This window comes from Homo sapiens, chromosome 16 (genome assembly GCF_000001405.40).
Source record: "Homo sapiens chromosome 16, GRCh38.p14 Primary Assembly".
Taxonomy (NCBI): Eukaryota; Metazoa; Chordata; class Mammalia; order Primates; family Hominidae; genus Homo; species Homo sapiens.
This window is the reverse complement of record NC_000016.10, coordinates 2,133,240-2,147,197: the sequence shown is the minus strand read 5'-3', so window position 1 is coordinate 2,147,197 and position 13,958 is coordinate 2,133,240. Positions and strand designations below refer to the sequence as shown.

Here is a 13,958-nt window from a genome sequence, read left to right as displayed (position 1 = left end):
CCTTCCTTGTCTCACTCCTCTGGCCCCCCAGCTCTTCCAGACCAACCCCCAGTGTGTGTGCACTGGGCCTGGGTAGAGGCATTTAGCTTCTGCAGCTGCAGCCCTGGGGACTCCAGGTGTCCACCCGCGCTACAAGGCCTCTTTCAGGATGGCTGGCCCAGGGTCTGAGCTGGGGGCCTCAGCAGCTGCTGTGCACTGGCCCCAGGGTCCTGGGCAGTGGACTCCCAGTCCAGTGGACCCCGTCCTGCCAGCTGCTGCTCAGGTACCCCCAGGGCGCGGGCAGCAGGAGGAGTTGGGTGCAAGTAGGGCATCCTGCAGGGGGAGGAGTGCGGATGGGGCCCCCAGGAAGAGAAGGAGGCAGGCGCGCTGGAGAAAGTGGGAGGCCAGGCGGGGAGGGGAGCCTTGAGAGAGCAGAGGAAACGGGCTTGCGCTGGCAACCTTTAAAATTAGGAGAGTTTACATAAAAATCCAAGTCTCTGGTTTCTCTTGAAAATGGGGAGCTCTGGGTGCCTGCATCACAGACCCCTCTCTTGGCTTCCAGCAGGCCTCGGAATCTTTGATCATTATGTCTCTTGGTTGCTGTGTTTGCCATCTGTTTCACCCTCTGGAGTGTAAGCTCTCCGGGCACAGGAAGCAGCTTGTCTTGGTCAACTGCTGTCCCCAGCAGCCAGCTCTGGGCCTCCATAAGCAGTTATTAAATTGGTGAAAGAGGTGTGGTGGCTCACGCCTGTAATCCCAGCACTTTGGGAGGCTGAGCAGGCAGATCACTTGAGGCCAGGAGTTTGAGACCAGCCTGGCCAACATGGTGAAACCCCGTCTCTACTAAAAATACAAAAATTAGCTGGGCCTGGTGGCATACGCCTGTAATCCCAGCTACTCGGGAGGCTGAGGCAGGAGAATCGCTTGACCCCAGGAGGAGGAGGTTGCAGTGAGCTGAGATTGTGCTGTTGCATTCCAGCCTGGGTGACAGAGCGAGACTCTGGGGAAAAAAAAAAGAAAGAAAAGAAAAGAGAAAGAAATGTGACTTAGAAACACAGGCCTCACTTCAGGAGGACATGTCCTTGCTAACAAAGATTTAAGGCAAGTGTGATCAGTAGTGAGGGCAAGGCTTCTGGGGGAGGGAGGGTTTGCACTGGGCTTTGAGGATTGAGCTAGAGTCCGACACGAGAGAGAAAGACAGTCCCCAGGTGGAGGGAGTCAATATGCATAGGCTGAGAGTGCTAGGAGATGGGCACTTTGTGCCGAGGTGGCCAAAGTGTGGCCCAGTTCCTTGGAGGAAACGGGAGGTAATCAAGCTGGTAAGGTAGGATGGGGTCAGCTGGGAAGGGAAACCTGAGTGTTATTCCTAGGAGCTTGGAAATTGTACAGCGGGAAGTAGAGAGCTGTGCGTGGCTTTTGAGCAGAACAACAGAGGACGCTGTGCTACAGGAATATTGGGGACTGGCAGGAGGGGATGGATGGTGGAGCCTGTAGGCCTGGAGATGAGATTGATGGGGGTTGCAGTCACCCAGGGGAGGGATAATAGGAACAGAGAGGACCTTCAGGAAAGAAGCTGTAGGCCTGGAGGCAGGGAGGGGAGGGTCAGAGTCCATGCCCATGGGCAGAGACCAGTGGGATGCTGCAGTGGGTTAAAGATGGATTAAACCCCAGCACTTTGGGAGGCCGGGGCGGGCGGATCACCTGAGATCGGGAGTTCGAGACCAGCCTGGCCAACATGGAGAAACCCCGTCTCTACTAAAAATACAAAATTAGCCAGGTGTGGTGGCGGGCGCCTGTAGTCCCAGCTACTCAGGAGGCTGAGGCAGGAGAATCGCTTGAACCCAGGAGGCGGAGGTTGTGGTGAGCCGAGATCGCGCCATCGTACTCCAGCCTGGGCGACAAGAGCGAAACTTGGTCTCCACAAAAAAAAAAAAAAAAAAGGCCGGGCGCGGTGGCTCACGCCTGTAATCCCAGCAGCACTTTGGGAGGCCGAGGCAGGCAGACCACGAGGTCAGGAGATCAAGACCATCCTGGCTAACACAGTGAAACCCTGTCTCTACTAAAAATACAAAAAATTAGCCGGGTGTGGTGGCGGGCGCCTGTAGTCCCAGCTACTCGGGAGGCTGCGGCAGCAGAATGGCGTGAACCCGGGAGGTGGAACTTGCAGTGAGCGGAGATCGCACCACCACACTCCAGCCTGGGCGACGGAACAAGACTCCATCTCAAAAAACAACAACAACAACAACAAATAAAACTAGAAAAACTAGAACAGGCAGCCAGCGAGGGCAAGGCGGGGGCCGGCGAGGGCAAGGCGGGGGCCGGCGAGGGCAAGGCGGGGGCCGGCATGGTGGGAAAGTTCAGCAGGGAGGCCTTGGGATGTCCGGATTCTTGGCATCTTCAGACCTGGAGAAGAGAGGAGTCCTGTGGGCCAGGGCAGGTCCCTGAGACAGGGTCCGAGTTTGAGATGGGCCCTGGGAGCTGGGGGCGGAGAGTGAGGTCCGTGTTCCCCTGGGAGGGGTGCTACAGCCCCCCACCCTTCTGGTGCAGAGCTGGCTCTTCCAGGGAGGGGAAGGTCTCCACGGGTTCCTGTCCTCGAGCGGAGAGAGCGCCCTGGGTCTCCTTGGGGCCTTGCTCTGGGACTTTCGCTCCTGTTACCTTCTGACGGCCCGGCCCCCTGGCATCCTTACACCGTGCCCTCTAACTCCTGCCAGTTCCTTCTGACCGTCCTGGGTGTCTGGAAGGATGTGTGCTGTGAGCCCCCAGCCAAAACGACCCCTGGGAGCCATGGATCAGGACAGTCTCTTTCTGGCCCCCATTTTCCAGCCTCTTCCCTACACTCTGCCCCCAGAGTGGGGCCCTCGGGCTGGCCCTTGTGTGCCAGGAGAGGGGGCGCAGGCACGAGTGAGGCCTCCTCAGGCTTCCAGACTCTGCCTGGAGCCCCACCCTCAAGGGAGCCTGCCCTGGCTCCTCCTGCCCCACTTCTGGCTCCCTGGATGCTCTCCAGCCCTTCCCCAGCGGCTGCATGGCCGCTGTAGCAGCCTGGGAGCCTCCTGAGGACAGGGCCCTGTCCTGCCTACTCCTGTTCCCGCCAGGCACTCGAGCGAGAGCTCTGTGGCTGAGCAGCAGAGAGCTGGGTTGGACTTCAAGGGGCTCTTAGCAAGCCAGGGAGTGGCAAAGCCGCCACGGCCTGTGCCCCCAGGGCACCTCCCAAGACCCTCCTCTGGAGCTCAGCGGTCTGTGCCCTCCGCGGGGTCCCCGGCTTGCTATGTGCCCCTGGGCACGTGGCATTCCCTGTCTGGGCCTGCTCCCCTCTCCATGAAATGAGGGGGCAGGAGGAGCCGATCTCTGAGGTCCCTTCCAGCTCAAACACCTTATGTTCTATGAAATCCGTGTGAACGTTGCCATGGAGACGTTGGAGGAACTGCGGCAGCACTGAACGCAACTTCCACCCGAGAGAGGAGCACTGAGTCACCCCAGCACGTGGGTGACATCACAGGTAAGCTCTCTCCGGTGTCCAGGTGTGCAGCAGTCTGGTGTCCTCCTGAGAGGTCACCCCCCTTCAGCCTGCTCACCATGGTGGCCCTGAGGCCCTACCGGGTGGGTCGGGACAAACAGGTGTCCATCCCTGCCCGAATGGGGACCCTTTGTCTGTTGCCTGCAGACGTGACCACAGTGACTCAGGTGCTCCCAGACGGGAAGGCAGCAGAGGTGATCTGCCACACAGAAGATGAGCTAACGGGGGAGTCATGTGCGCCTCTGTGGCTGTCAGAGCAGTATCCTCACTCCTACGGAGCCAGTTGCCTGCTCTCAGCAGTGCTGGCTTCCTGCGCCTGAGCTGAGTGAGGGTGTCCGCTTAGCCATTGGAGGAGGCAGCATCAGGGCTCCTGGCTGCAGGCTCTCCCGGCAGCCTCAGAGTGACACACATGGCCTCACGGCAGGTGCAGGGATCCCTGTCGATGAACAAAACAGACCCCTGCGTAACCGTAACAATCACTGACTACCCCGGACTGCACCAAGTGCTTTCCTTGCAACGTTTCTCTCTTTTTTTTTTTGAGATGGAGTCTTGCTGTGTCACTCAGGCTGGAGTGCAATGGCGCCATCTCGATCTCGGCTCACTACAACCTCTGCCTCCCAGGTTCAGGCAATTCTCCTGCCTCAGCCTTCCGAGTAGCTGGGATTACAAGTGTCCACCACCACGCCCGGCTAATTTTTGTATTTTAGTAGAGACAGGGTTTCACCATGTTGGCCAGGCTGGTCTTGAACTCCTAACCTCAGGTGATCCACCCGCCTCGGCCTCCCAAAGTGCTGGGATTACAGGTGCCCACCACCACGCCTGGCTAATTGTTTTTTTTTTTTTTTTTTTTTTTTGAGACGGAGTCTGGCTCTCGCCCAGGCTGGAGTACAATGGTGCGATCTCGGCTCACTGCAAGTTCCACCTCCCGGGTTCACACCATTCTCCTGCCTCAGCCTCCCGAGTAGCTGGGACTACAGGTGCCCGGCACCACACCCGGCTAATTTTTGTTTTTGTATTTTAGTTGAGACAGGGTTTCACCGTGTTAGCCAGGATGGTCTGGATCTTCTGACCTCGTGATTCACCTGCCTCGGCTTCCCAAAGTGCTGGGATTACAGGCGTGAGCCACCGCACCCTGCCCTTTTTTTTTTTTTTTTTTTTTTGAGATAGGGTCTCACTCTGTTACCCAGACTGAAGTGCAGTGGTGCGGTTCCGACTCACTGTAGCCTTGAACTCTTGGGTTCAAGCAATCTTCCCACTTCAGTCTCCCAGCAATTTTTTAGTTTTTTTTATAGAGATGGGGGACTCACTATTGTCCAGGCTGGTCTTGAACTCCTGGGCTCAAGGGATCCTCCCGCCTTAGCCTCCCAAGATGTTGGGATTACAGGCGTCAGCCACCGCGCCCAGCCTTGTTTTGTAAGAGTCTAAATTAAATCACAATTATCTGATTCTTCCACATTTGATAGAACTTGTCCACAAAAAGATCTGGATTAAGTGTCTTTTCCTGACATGGCTTTTGATACGTTTTCAATGTGTTCTTTTGTTATTGGTCTATTTGGGGTTTTAATTTTTTCTAGAATTGGTTTTTACAGTTTGTAACATATAAGCATCCCATATAGATTTCAAAAATGTAGGCAAACAATTGCACATAATTTTCTTTTATAATTTTTAACTTTTTTCATCTCTGTGAATAAACCTTCATTCTTCATCTGAATGTCCCATATTTTCTTTTTCTCTCTCCTTTTCTCTCAGTCACACTTACCAGAAGTTTTTCCTAGAAAAATCTTAGCAACTATATCTATTAAATAGCTCGATTTTATTCATCAATTCTACTCTTTCTTTTTTTTTTTTTTTTTGAGGCCCAGCCTACTCTTTCTTTTAAAGTAACTAATTTCTGCTCTTTACTTTCTAATTTCCTTCCATCTTTTTTGGGGGGTTTATTTTACAGGTGTTTTTCTAGAATGTTGAAATAAATACTTAATTTATATATTGGTTTGATTCTTCATGCTAACTAATAAAAACAAGTGAAGTTATCCGTTTCTCTCCATGTATAACTTTGACTGCATCCCCATAGATTTTCTATGATGTTTGCTCATTACTATTCATTTCCTTTTTTTTTTTTTCCTTCTTTTTTGAGACAGAGTCTCGCTCTGTCACCCAGGCTGGAGTGCAGTGGCATGATCTCAGCTCACTGCAACCTCCACTTCCAGGGTTCAAGTAATTCTCCTGCCTCAGCCTCCCTAGAAGCTGGGATTACAGGCATGTGCCCCCACGCTCTGCTAATTTTTGTATTTTTAGTAGAGACAGGGTCTCACCATGTTGGCCAGGTTGGTCTTGAACTCCTGACCTCTGGTGATCCGCCTGGCTTGGCCTCCCAAAGTGCTAGGATTACAGTCATGAGCCACCCCACCCAGCCTATTCATTTCTATATGCTCTACTTTTTATTTATTTATTTTTTGAGACACGGTCTCACTCTGTTGCCCAGGTTGGAGTGCAGTGGCACGATCTCAGCACACTGCAACCTCCCCATCCCGGGTTCAAGCGATTCTCCTGCCTCAGCCTCCCAAGTAGCTGGGAATACAGGCCTGCATCCCCACACCCAGCTAATTTTTGTATTTTTGGTAGAGATGGGGTTTTGCGATGTTGGCCAGGCTGGTCTTGAACTCCTGACCTCAAGTGATCCACCCACCTCGGCCTCCTGTAGTGCTGGGATTACAGGCGTGAGCCACCGCACCCAGTCCATGATTTCCATCTTTACCTTTCAGTGATCTGGGCTGTCAGGGTGTCCAGCTGTCCTGTGACCCTCTGCGGATGGTTCTTCCGGCCTCTCTACTCAGGTGGGAGTCCCTGAATTAGGCTGTGCTTGTGGGAGCTTCAGTTTTGATCTGGTTTCAAGATTTGATGCAGTGAGCAAGTGAAAGTACCCAAGAGAGCCTCTAGGGGGCGGTGGTGTTTAAGGCCACGTTCTTTTTTTTCTTTTCTTTTCTTTTCTTTTTTTTTTTGAGATGGAGTCTACCTTTGTCACCAGACTGGAGCGCAGTGGCGCGATCTCGGCTCACTGCAACCTCCACCTCCTGGGTTCAAGCTATTCTCCTGCCTCAGCCTCCCGAGTAGCTGGGATTACAGGCACACACCGCCACACCCAGCTAATTTTTGTATTTTTAGTAGAGACAGGGTTTCACCACGTTGGCCAGGATGGTCTCCATCCCCTGACCTGGTGATCCACTCACCTCGGCCTCCCAAAGTACTGGGATTACAGGCGTGAGCCACCGCGTCCGGCCAAAGGCCACGTTCTTATCTAAGCTTTTCCTCTGACCTTGCCTAACATCTGTAATGCCAAAATAGTTAACACGCCCTGTTTTGTGTACAATACAGCTTATTAACTGTGCTACTCAAAGTCTCTATATCTTTACTGACATAAAAAAATTGTCTCTTTGGCCGGGTACGGTGGCTCACGCTTGTAATCCCAGCACTTTGGAAGGCCGAGGCAGGTGGATCACTTGAAGCCAGGAGTTAGAGACCAACCTGGCCAGCATGGTGAAACCCTGTCTCTACTAAAATTACAAAAATTAGCCAGGTGTGGTGGTGCACGCCTGTAATCTCAGCTACTCAGGAGGCTGAGGCACGAGAATCACTTGAACCTGGGAGGCAGATGTTGTGGTGAGCTGAGATCGTGCCACTGCACTCCAACATCCTGGGCAACAGAGCGAGATTCTGTTTCAAAAGAAAAAAAAAATTGTCTCTCTCTCTTTCTTTTTTTTTTTAGACAGGATCTCACTCTGTCATGTAGGCTGGAGTGCAGTGGTGCCATCATGGCTTACTGCAGCCTTGACCTTCTGGGCTCAAGTGAGCCTCCCACCTCATCCTCCCAAATAACTGGGACCACAGGCGAGCTCCGCTATGCCTGGCTAATTTTTTGTTTGTATTTTTTGTAGAAATGGGGTCTCTTGGCTGGGCGCGGTGGCTCACACCTGTAATCCCAGCACTTTGGGAGGCCAAGGCGGGTGGATCACGAGGTCAGGAGATCGAGACCATCCTGGCTAACACGGTGAAACTCTGTCTCTACTAAAAATACAAAAAATTCTCCGGGCGTGGTGGCGGGCGCCTGTAGTCCCATCTACTCGGGAGGCGAGGCAGGAGAACGGCGTGCGCCCGGGAGGCGGAGCTTGCAGTGAGCCGAAATCGCGCCACTGCACTCCAGCCTGGGTGGCAGAGCGAGACTCCGTCTCAAAAAAAGAAAAAACAACAAACAAAAAAAAAGAAATGGGGTCTCTCTGTGTTGTCCAGGCTGGCCTCAGTGATCCTCCTTCCTTGGCCTCCCAAAGTTCTGGGATTACAGGCATGAACCACTGTGTCCAGACAAAAATTGATCTGTAAACTTTTTGAGACAGCATCTCACCCTGTTCCCCAGGCTGGAGTGCAGTGGTGTGATCATGGCTCACTGCAGCGTCAACCTCCTGGGTCTACTTGATCCTTCTTCGAGGGAAGGTGTAATAAACCCTCCTGCAATGTCTTTGTTTTTCAAAATCTTTGTATTTCACAGTTTAGCTTCGTGGGTTGATGTTCTATTTTGTTTTTGTGTGTGTGTGTGTGTGTTTTGTGTTTTTTTTTGAGACACAGTCTTGCTCTTGTTGCCCAGGCTGGAGTGCAATGGTGTGATCTTGGCTCACTGCAACTTCCACCTCTTGGGTTCAAGAGATTCTCCTGCCTCAGCCTTCCGAGTAGCTAGGATTACAGGCGCCGCCACCACACCCCGCTAATTTTGTATTTTTAGTAGAGATGGGGTTTCTCCATATTGGTCAGGCTGGTCTCAAACTCCCGACCTCAGGTGATCCGCCCACCTCAGCCTCCCAAAATGCTGGGATTACAGGCGTGAGTCACCGCACCTGGCCAATGTTCTATTTTTGAGAACACAACAGTTCATAATATATTCTACATAGACCATACCTGTTATGTGTAGATAAACAGACTCTTTTCCCATTTAACACCTTTTGCCTTAGGTTTATTTTTCTGGTATCAATACTGGCACACTTACTTTGTTTGCAGTTTCCTGTCTTTTTTTTTTTTTTTTTTTTTTTTGAGACAGAGTCTCACTCTGTCACCCAGGCTGGAGTGAAGTGGCGGGATCTCGGCTCACTGCAACCTCTACCTCCTGGGTTCATGCGATTCTCCTGCCTCAGCTTCCCGAATAGCTGAGACCACAACTGTGTGCCACCATGCCCAGCCAATTTTTGTATTTTTAGTAGACACGGGGTTTCACCATACTGGCCAGGATGGCTCAATCTCTTGACCTCGTGATCCACCTGCCTCCGCCTCCCAAAGTGCTGGGATTACAGGCATGAGCCACTGTGCCTGGCCTTTTTTTTTCTTTTTGAGATGGAGTCTCACTCTGTCACCCAGGCTGGAGTGCAGTGGGGTAACCTCAGGTCACTGCGACCTCCGCCTCCCGGGTTCCAGTGATTCTCCTGCCTCAGCCTCCCGAGTAGCTGGGATTACAGGCACCCACCACCATGCCTGGCTAATTTTTGTATTTTTAGTAGAGACGGGGTTTTGCCACGTTGGCCAGGTTGGTCTCGAACTCTTGGCCTCATGTGACCCGCCTGCCTTGGCCTCCCAAAGTGCTGGGATTACAGGTGTGAGCCACTGTGCCTGGCCTGGCTTTCTTGTTTCTTTTCTCCTCTTCTAGTTTCCCCCTTTTAGGCTAACAATTATTCACTGTTAATAAAAACCCTCAGGTCTGTATTTTATCAAGAAACATTTCCCTCACGTCTTCTTCCCTGAACCAAACAAGATCTCTGGCACATTTTATTTGCTCTGTCTCACCACATGGATTTTGTTTTTTTGTTTCTTTGTTTTTTGAGATGGAGTCTCACTCTTGTTGCCCAGGCTGGAGTGCCATGGCACAATCTCAGCTCACTGCAACCTCCACCTCCTGGGTTCAAGCGATTCTCCTGTCTCAGCCTCCTGAGTAGCTGGGATTACAGGCGCGTGGCACCACCCCCAGCTAATTTTTGTATTTTTAGTAGAGACGGGGTTTCACCATGTTGGTCAGGCTGGTCTCGAACTCCTGACCTTGTGATCTGCCCACCTTGGCCTCCCAAAGTGCTGGGATTACAGGCATGAGCCACCACGCCCGGCCCCCATGGTTTTTCAAATAGTTTAGAATTTCATTTCCAGGTAACTAATTTGCTTCTTTAAACATATGTCTTTTCTATTTAAGAAATCCTTTCTAAACAATTGCATTTTATTCCACAACCGCCTTCAAACAATCATTGAGACTTGGTTAATCTGTTTTGCTCATTTGGCAGCAGTTTCTTGTGGCTGTTTCTTCCCTCCACTGGAGTCCTTGAATCTTAAGTCTGTCATTTGACTGCAATTAAAAGCTGGGTTTGGAATACAATCGCAGCCTTACCATCCACCTGCTGTGTGACCTGGTAAATTTCTTTTTTTTTTTTTGAGACGGAGTCTTGCTCTGTTGCCCAGGCTGGAGTGCAGTGGCACAACCTCTGCCTCCCAGGTTCAAGCGATTCTATTGCCTCAGGCTCCCTAGTAGCTGGGATTATAGGTGCCTGCCACCATGCCCAGCTGATTTTTGTATTTTTAGTAGAGATGAGGTTTCACCATGTTGGCTAGGCTGGTCTCGAACTTCTGATCTTGTGATCTGCCCGCCTCGGCCTCCCAAAGTGCTGGGATTACAGGCATGAGCCACCACTCCCAGCCAGTTCTTTTTTTCTTTTTTCCATTTTTTTTTTTTTCGAGACAGGATCTTACTCTTTTGCCCAGGCGGGAGTGCAGTGGCACAATCACGGCTCAGCGCAGCCACTGCCTACTGGGCTCACACGCTCCTCCGGCCTCAGCCTCTCGAGTACCTGGGACTACAAGCGTGAGCCAGTTTGGCTAATTTTGGCTAATTTTTGTAGAAACGGGGTCTCGCCATGTTGGCCAGGCTGGTCTCCAACTCCTGGACTCAAGGGATCCACCTTCCTCCCCCTCTCAAAGTTCTGGGATTACCGGAGTGAGCCACTGTGCCCTGCTGGCAAATTTCTTAAACTGTCTGTGCCTCAGTGACCTCATTTAATAAAGGGAATAATTGTAGCACACTTTTTCTAGAGCTGTGAAGATTCAATGGAATAAATAAGGCAATAAATGAATGGATGGGGAATGAAGGATGTGGGTTTCCTCCCTCTTGTCTTTCAATAAGCTCTCACCATCAACCTCCCATTGCCTGTTCTCTCTCTTCCCCCTCTCTCCCTCTGTCTCTCTCTCAGCCAGGAAACCTGGGGTAGGGAGGCTTGGAGCCAGCGGGTGCGTCGGGAGGCTGCGGGTACTGACTCGGGCCGCGCACGGAGATTGCGGGAGAAGGATCCACACCGCGGAAGAAGGATCAGGGTGGAGCCTGTGGCTGCTGCAGGAGGAGGAACCCGCCGCCTGGCCCACACCACAGGAGAAGGGCGGAGCCAGATGGCACCCTGCCCACCGCTTCCCGCCCACGCACTTTAGCCTGCAGCGGGGCGGAGCGTGAAAAATAGCTCGTGCGCCTCGGCCGACTCTGCAGTGCGACGGGCGGAGCTTCCAGACGCTCCGCCCCACGTCGCATGCGCCCCGGGAACGCGTGGGGCGGAGCTTCCGGAGGCCCCGCCCTGCTGCCGACCCTGTGGAGCGGAGGGTGAAGCCTCCGGATGCCAGTCCCTCATCGCTGGCCCGGTCGCGCTGTGGCGAAGGGGGCGGAGCCTGCACCCGCCCCGCCCCCCCTCGCCCCGTCCGCCCCGCGCCGCGCGGGGAGGAGGAGGAGGAGCCGCGGCGGGGCCCGCACTGCAGCGCCAGCGTCCGAGCGGGCGGCCGAGCTCCCGGAGCGGCCTGGCCCCGAGCCCCGAGCGGGCGTCGCTCAGCAGCAGGTCGCGGCCGCAGCCCCATCCAGCCCCGCGCCCGCCATGCCGTCCGCGGGCCCCGCCTGAGCTGCGGCCTCCGCGCGCGGGCGGGCCTGGGGACGGCGGGGCCATGCGCGCGCTGCCCTAACGATGCCGCCCGCCGCGCCCGCCCGCCTGGCGCTGGCCCTGGGCCTGGGCCTGTGGCTCGGGGCGCTGGCGGGGGGCCCCGGGCGCGGCTGCGGGCCCTGCGAGCCCCCCTGCCTCTGCGGCCCAGCGCCCGGCGCCGCCTGCCGCGTCAACTGCTCGGGCCGCGGGCTGCGGACGCTCGGTCCCGCGCTGCGCATCCCCGCGGACGCCACAGCGCTGTGAGTAGCGGGCCCAGCGGCACCCGGGAGAGGCCGCGGGACGGGCGGGCGTGGGCGCGTTCCCTGGCCCGGGACGGGAAGCAGGACGCGGGCCAGGACGCTCCCAGGGCGAGGCTCCGGCGCGGCACGGCGGCCCTGCTAAATAAGGAACGCCTGGAGCCGCGGTTGGCACGGCCCCGGGGAGCCGAAAAACCCCGGGTCTGGAGACAGACGTCCCACCCGGGGGCTCTGCAGACGCCAGCGGGGGCGGGGCGCGGAGGCCGCGCTCAGCTGGGAGGACAAACAGTCGCTAATTGGAGAGGAATTGGGATGCGGCCTGGGGCTGCGGGGTACCCGGAGAGGTGGGGATGGCTGTAGGGGGCGGCAGGGAAGAGTTCCAGGAGGTGTCTGGAAAAGGATTTGATGGATGTGCAAGAATTGGGCTGATGCTTAGGAAGGGGCGATGAGGTGGGTCCAGAAGAAGGGGGGTGAACGGTGTGAGCAAAGACCGTGAGGCTGGAGGCTGGCCACGGGAGGTGTGAGGGGTAGGGGCAGGGTGGGAGGTGGGCTCGCGGGTGGGCTGGGGTCATGAAGGGCCTCAGGCGCTCTGCTATTGGGTTCCAAGGCTATCCTGAGAACAGGGGTGAGGGGGGATTGCCGTGGGGGGTTAAAGCCTTGTCATGTTCGCTTTCGGGAGATAAAAACAACAGGTGGCCTTTATGGAGACGCTGCCCAGAGCCAGGTCTGTGCCAGGCTCCTGTTGGGGGTCGTCATGCGGAATCCTGACTCTGACCATCCGAGGCATAGGGACCGTGGAGATTTGCATTTCACAGATGAGGAAACAGGTTTGGAGAGGTGACACGACCTGTCCCAGGCATCACAGCCGGGATGTGCATAGCAGGGGTTTGGAACTATGAGGTGCCCAGGACCCAGGGTTGGATTGAAAAGGGCGGAGGGGACTAAGATAAGCAGACAGTTGTCCCCAGCGCTGGGGAGAGTCTTGGGACCAGTCTGATGCCTTGTATTTCCCAGGCTCCAGGCTCCTCGCCGGGACAGTGTCTCCTTGGGTGCGTGCTGGATCCCTGGGGGACGTGGCACATCCCCAGGCTTGCTAAACATTGGGTGGGTTCTGGCATTTGGTTTTGTAACGTTTCTGGGTCACTCCCGCCTGTGGCCACCCTTCCTTAGGGGAGCCGTGTGTCCTTGGGGCTTTGCTGGGTGGTCTCGAGGGTGGGAGAAGAATGGGTTCTCCTGGACCAATGGAGCCCGTGCCCCTCGGGGCCACATTGCTCCTGCGCTCCCTGACTGCGGACGCGTGTGTCTCGCGGCTGTCTCTGTGGAGATGGCCTCCTCCTGCCTGGCAACAGCACCCACAGAATTGCATCAGACCTACCCCACCCGTTGTTTGTGATGCTGTAGCTGAGGGCTCCTCTGTCTGCCAGGCCGGTCACTGGGGACTCTGTCCAGGGCCTGGTGGTTCCTGCTTCCCAGCACCTGATGGTGTCCATGAGAGCAGCCCCTCAGGAGCTGTCCGGGAGAGAAGGGCGCTGGTGGCTGCTGAGCGGAGAGCAAGGCCCGTGTTCTCCAGGCCCTTGGCACAGCAGTGGAGCCCCCGCCCCTGCCTTGTGTTGTCCTCTTAGGCTCTGGTCCTGGGGTTTGGAGGAGGGGGACCCTGGGAGTTGGTGGCCTGTCCCAGCCTGAGCTGGCAAGATTCCGAATGCCAGGCCCCCCAAGTGTGCAACAGGGCACAGGGTGACCTCATGTGGGCAGGTGGGTGCTGTTCTGTACACACCTGGGGCCGCCGCTGGGAGAGTTCTGGAAGGTGGGGTGAGGGGACCCATGGCAAACTAGGGCCTTAGGAAGGATGTGAAGGCCCTGGCTGGCCCCCCAGGCCACCCTCTGTGCTGTGGGGCAGCCCAGCCATTTTGCTGTCTACCCTGCAAACTCCTCCTCGGGGAGACGGCTGGGTTTTCCCCAGGGAAGAGGGGTCAAGCTGGGAGAGGTGAAGGACACAGATCACAGCTGCTGGCAGGTGTTCAAGGGTCCAAGAGCGTTGCTGTCTGGGTGTCACCAGTAGCCTTCCTGGGGGGCTCACGCAGGTGCCTCTCCACTTGTGGCTCCCTGGCTGCTGAAGCTCAGCAGGGACAGCTGTGTCCAGTTCCAGGTGGAGGACAGCCGGGGCTTCTGAGGCCACAGCCTGCCTTGGGTTAATGATGCTGCCGAGAGGTGGTGGCTTTTGGAAAAGATGGCGTACTG

General features: G+C 55.3%; 1 protein-coding gene and 1 non-coding gene across 6 annotated transcripts in view, besides 5 other annotated features; both read left to right on the top strand.

The window, feature by feature from the left end:
• Positions 125–676: an enhancer, noted in NCBI's record as "H3K4me1 hESC enhancer chr16:2196523-2197074 (GRCh37/hg19 assembly coordinates)". NCBI's record gives its function as "activates a minimal SCP1, AML or CMV promoter by ChIP-STARR-seq in naive H9 embryonic stem cells {active_cell/tissue: H9 hESC(naive)}" and the evidence as "EXISTENCE:reporter gene assay evidence [ECO:0000049][PMID:30033119]".
• Positions 3,326–4,077: an enhancer, noted in NCBI's record as "H3K4me1 hESC enhancer chr16:2193122-2193873 (GRCh37/hg19 assembly coordinates)". NCBI's record gives its function as "activates a minimal SCP1, AML or CMV promoter by ChIP-STARR-seq in primed H9 embryonic stem cells {active_cell/tissue: H9 hESC(primed)}" and the evidence as "EXISTENCE:reporter gene assay evidence [ECO:0000049][PMID:30033119]".
• Positions 10,932–11,191: a silencer, noted in NCBI's record as "silent region_7026". NCBI's record gives its function as "represses an Ori minimal core promoter by ATAC-STARR-seq in GM12878 lymphoblastoid cells {active_cell/tissue: GM12878}" and the evidence as "EXISTENCE:reporter gene assay evidence [ECO:0000049][PMID:35858748]".
• MIR3180-5 (microRNA 3180-5) lies at positions 11,069–11,221 on the top strand. The gene has a single exon (NR_037467.1). It is a non-coding gene; the product is annotated as a microRNA 3180-5 (primary transcript).
• Positions 11,202–11,371: a silencer, noted in NCBI's record as "silent region_7025". NCBI's record gives its function as "represses an Ori minimal core promoter by ATAC-STARR-seq in GM12878 lymphoblastoid cells {active_cell/tissue: GM12878}" and the evidence as "EXISTENCE:reporter gene assay evidence [ECO:0000049][PMID:35858748]".
• PKD1 (polycystin 1, transient receptor potential channel interacting) overlaps positions 11,300–13,958 on the top strand; it is a 47,191-nt gene continuing 44,532 nt past the window's right edge. For 4 of the 5 annotated variants that reach the window (XM_047434209.1, NM_000296.4, NM_001009944.3 and 1 more), the window contains exon 1: positions 11,300–11,723. In XM_047434209.1, the coding sequence (XP_047290165.1) occupies positions 11,509–11,723 (215 nt within the window). In that variant the 5' untranslated portion in view covers positions 11,300–11,508. Of the gene's footprint in view, positions 11,724–11,946; positions 12,171–13,958 lie in introns of those variants that run through there. The other variant, XM_047434211.1, reaches the window with a different exon arrangement.
• Positions 13,149–13,917: an enhancer, noted in NCBI's record as "H3K27ac-H3K4me1 hESC enhancer chr16:2183282-2184050 (GRCh37/hg19 assembly coordinates)". NCBI's record gives its function as "activates a minimal SCP1, AML or CMV promoter by ChIP-STARR-seq in naive H9 embryonic stem cells {active_cell/tissue: H9 hESC(naive)}" and the evidence as "EXISTENCE:reporter gene assay evidence [ECO:0000049][PMID:30033119]".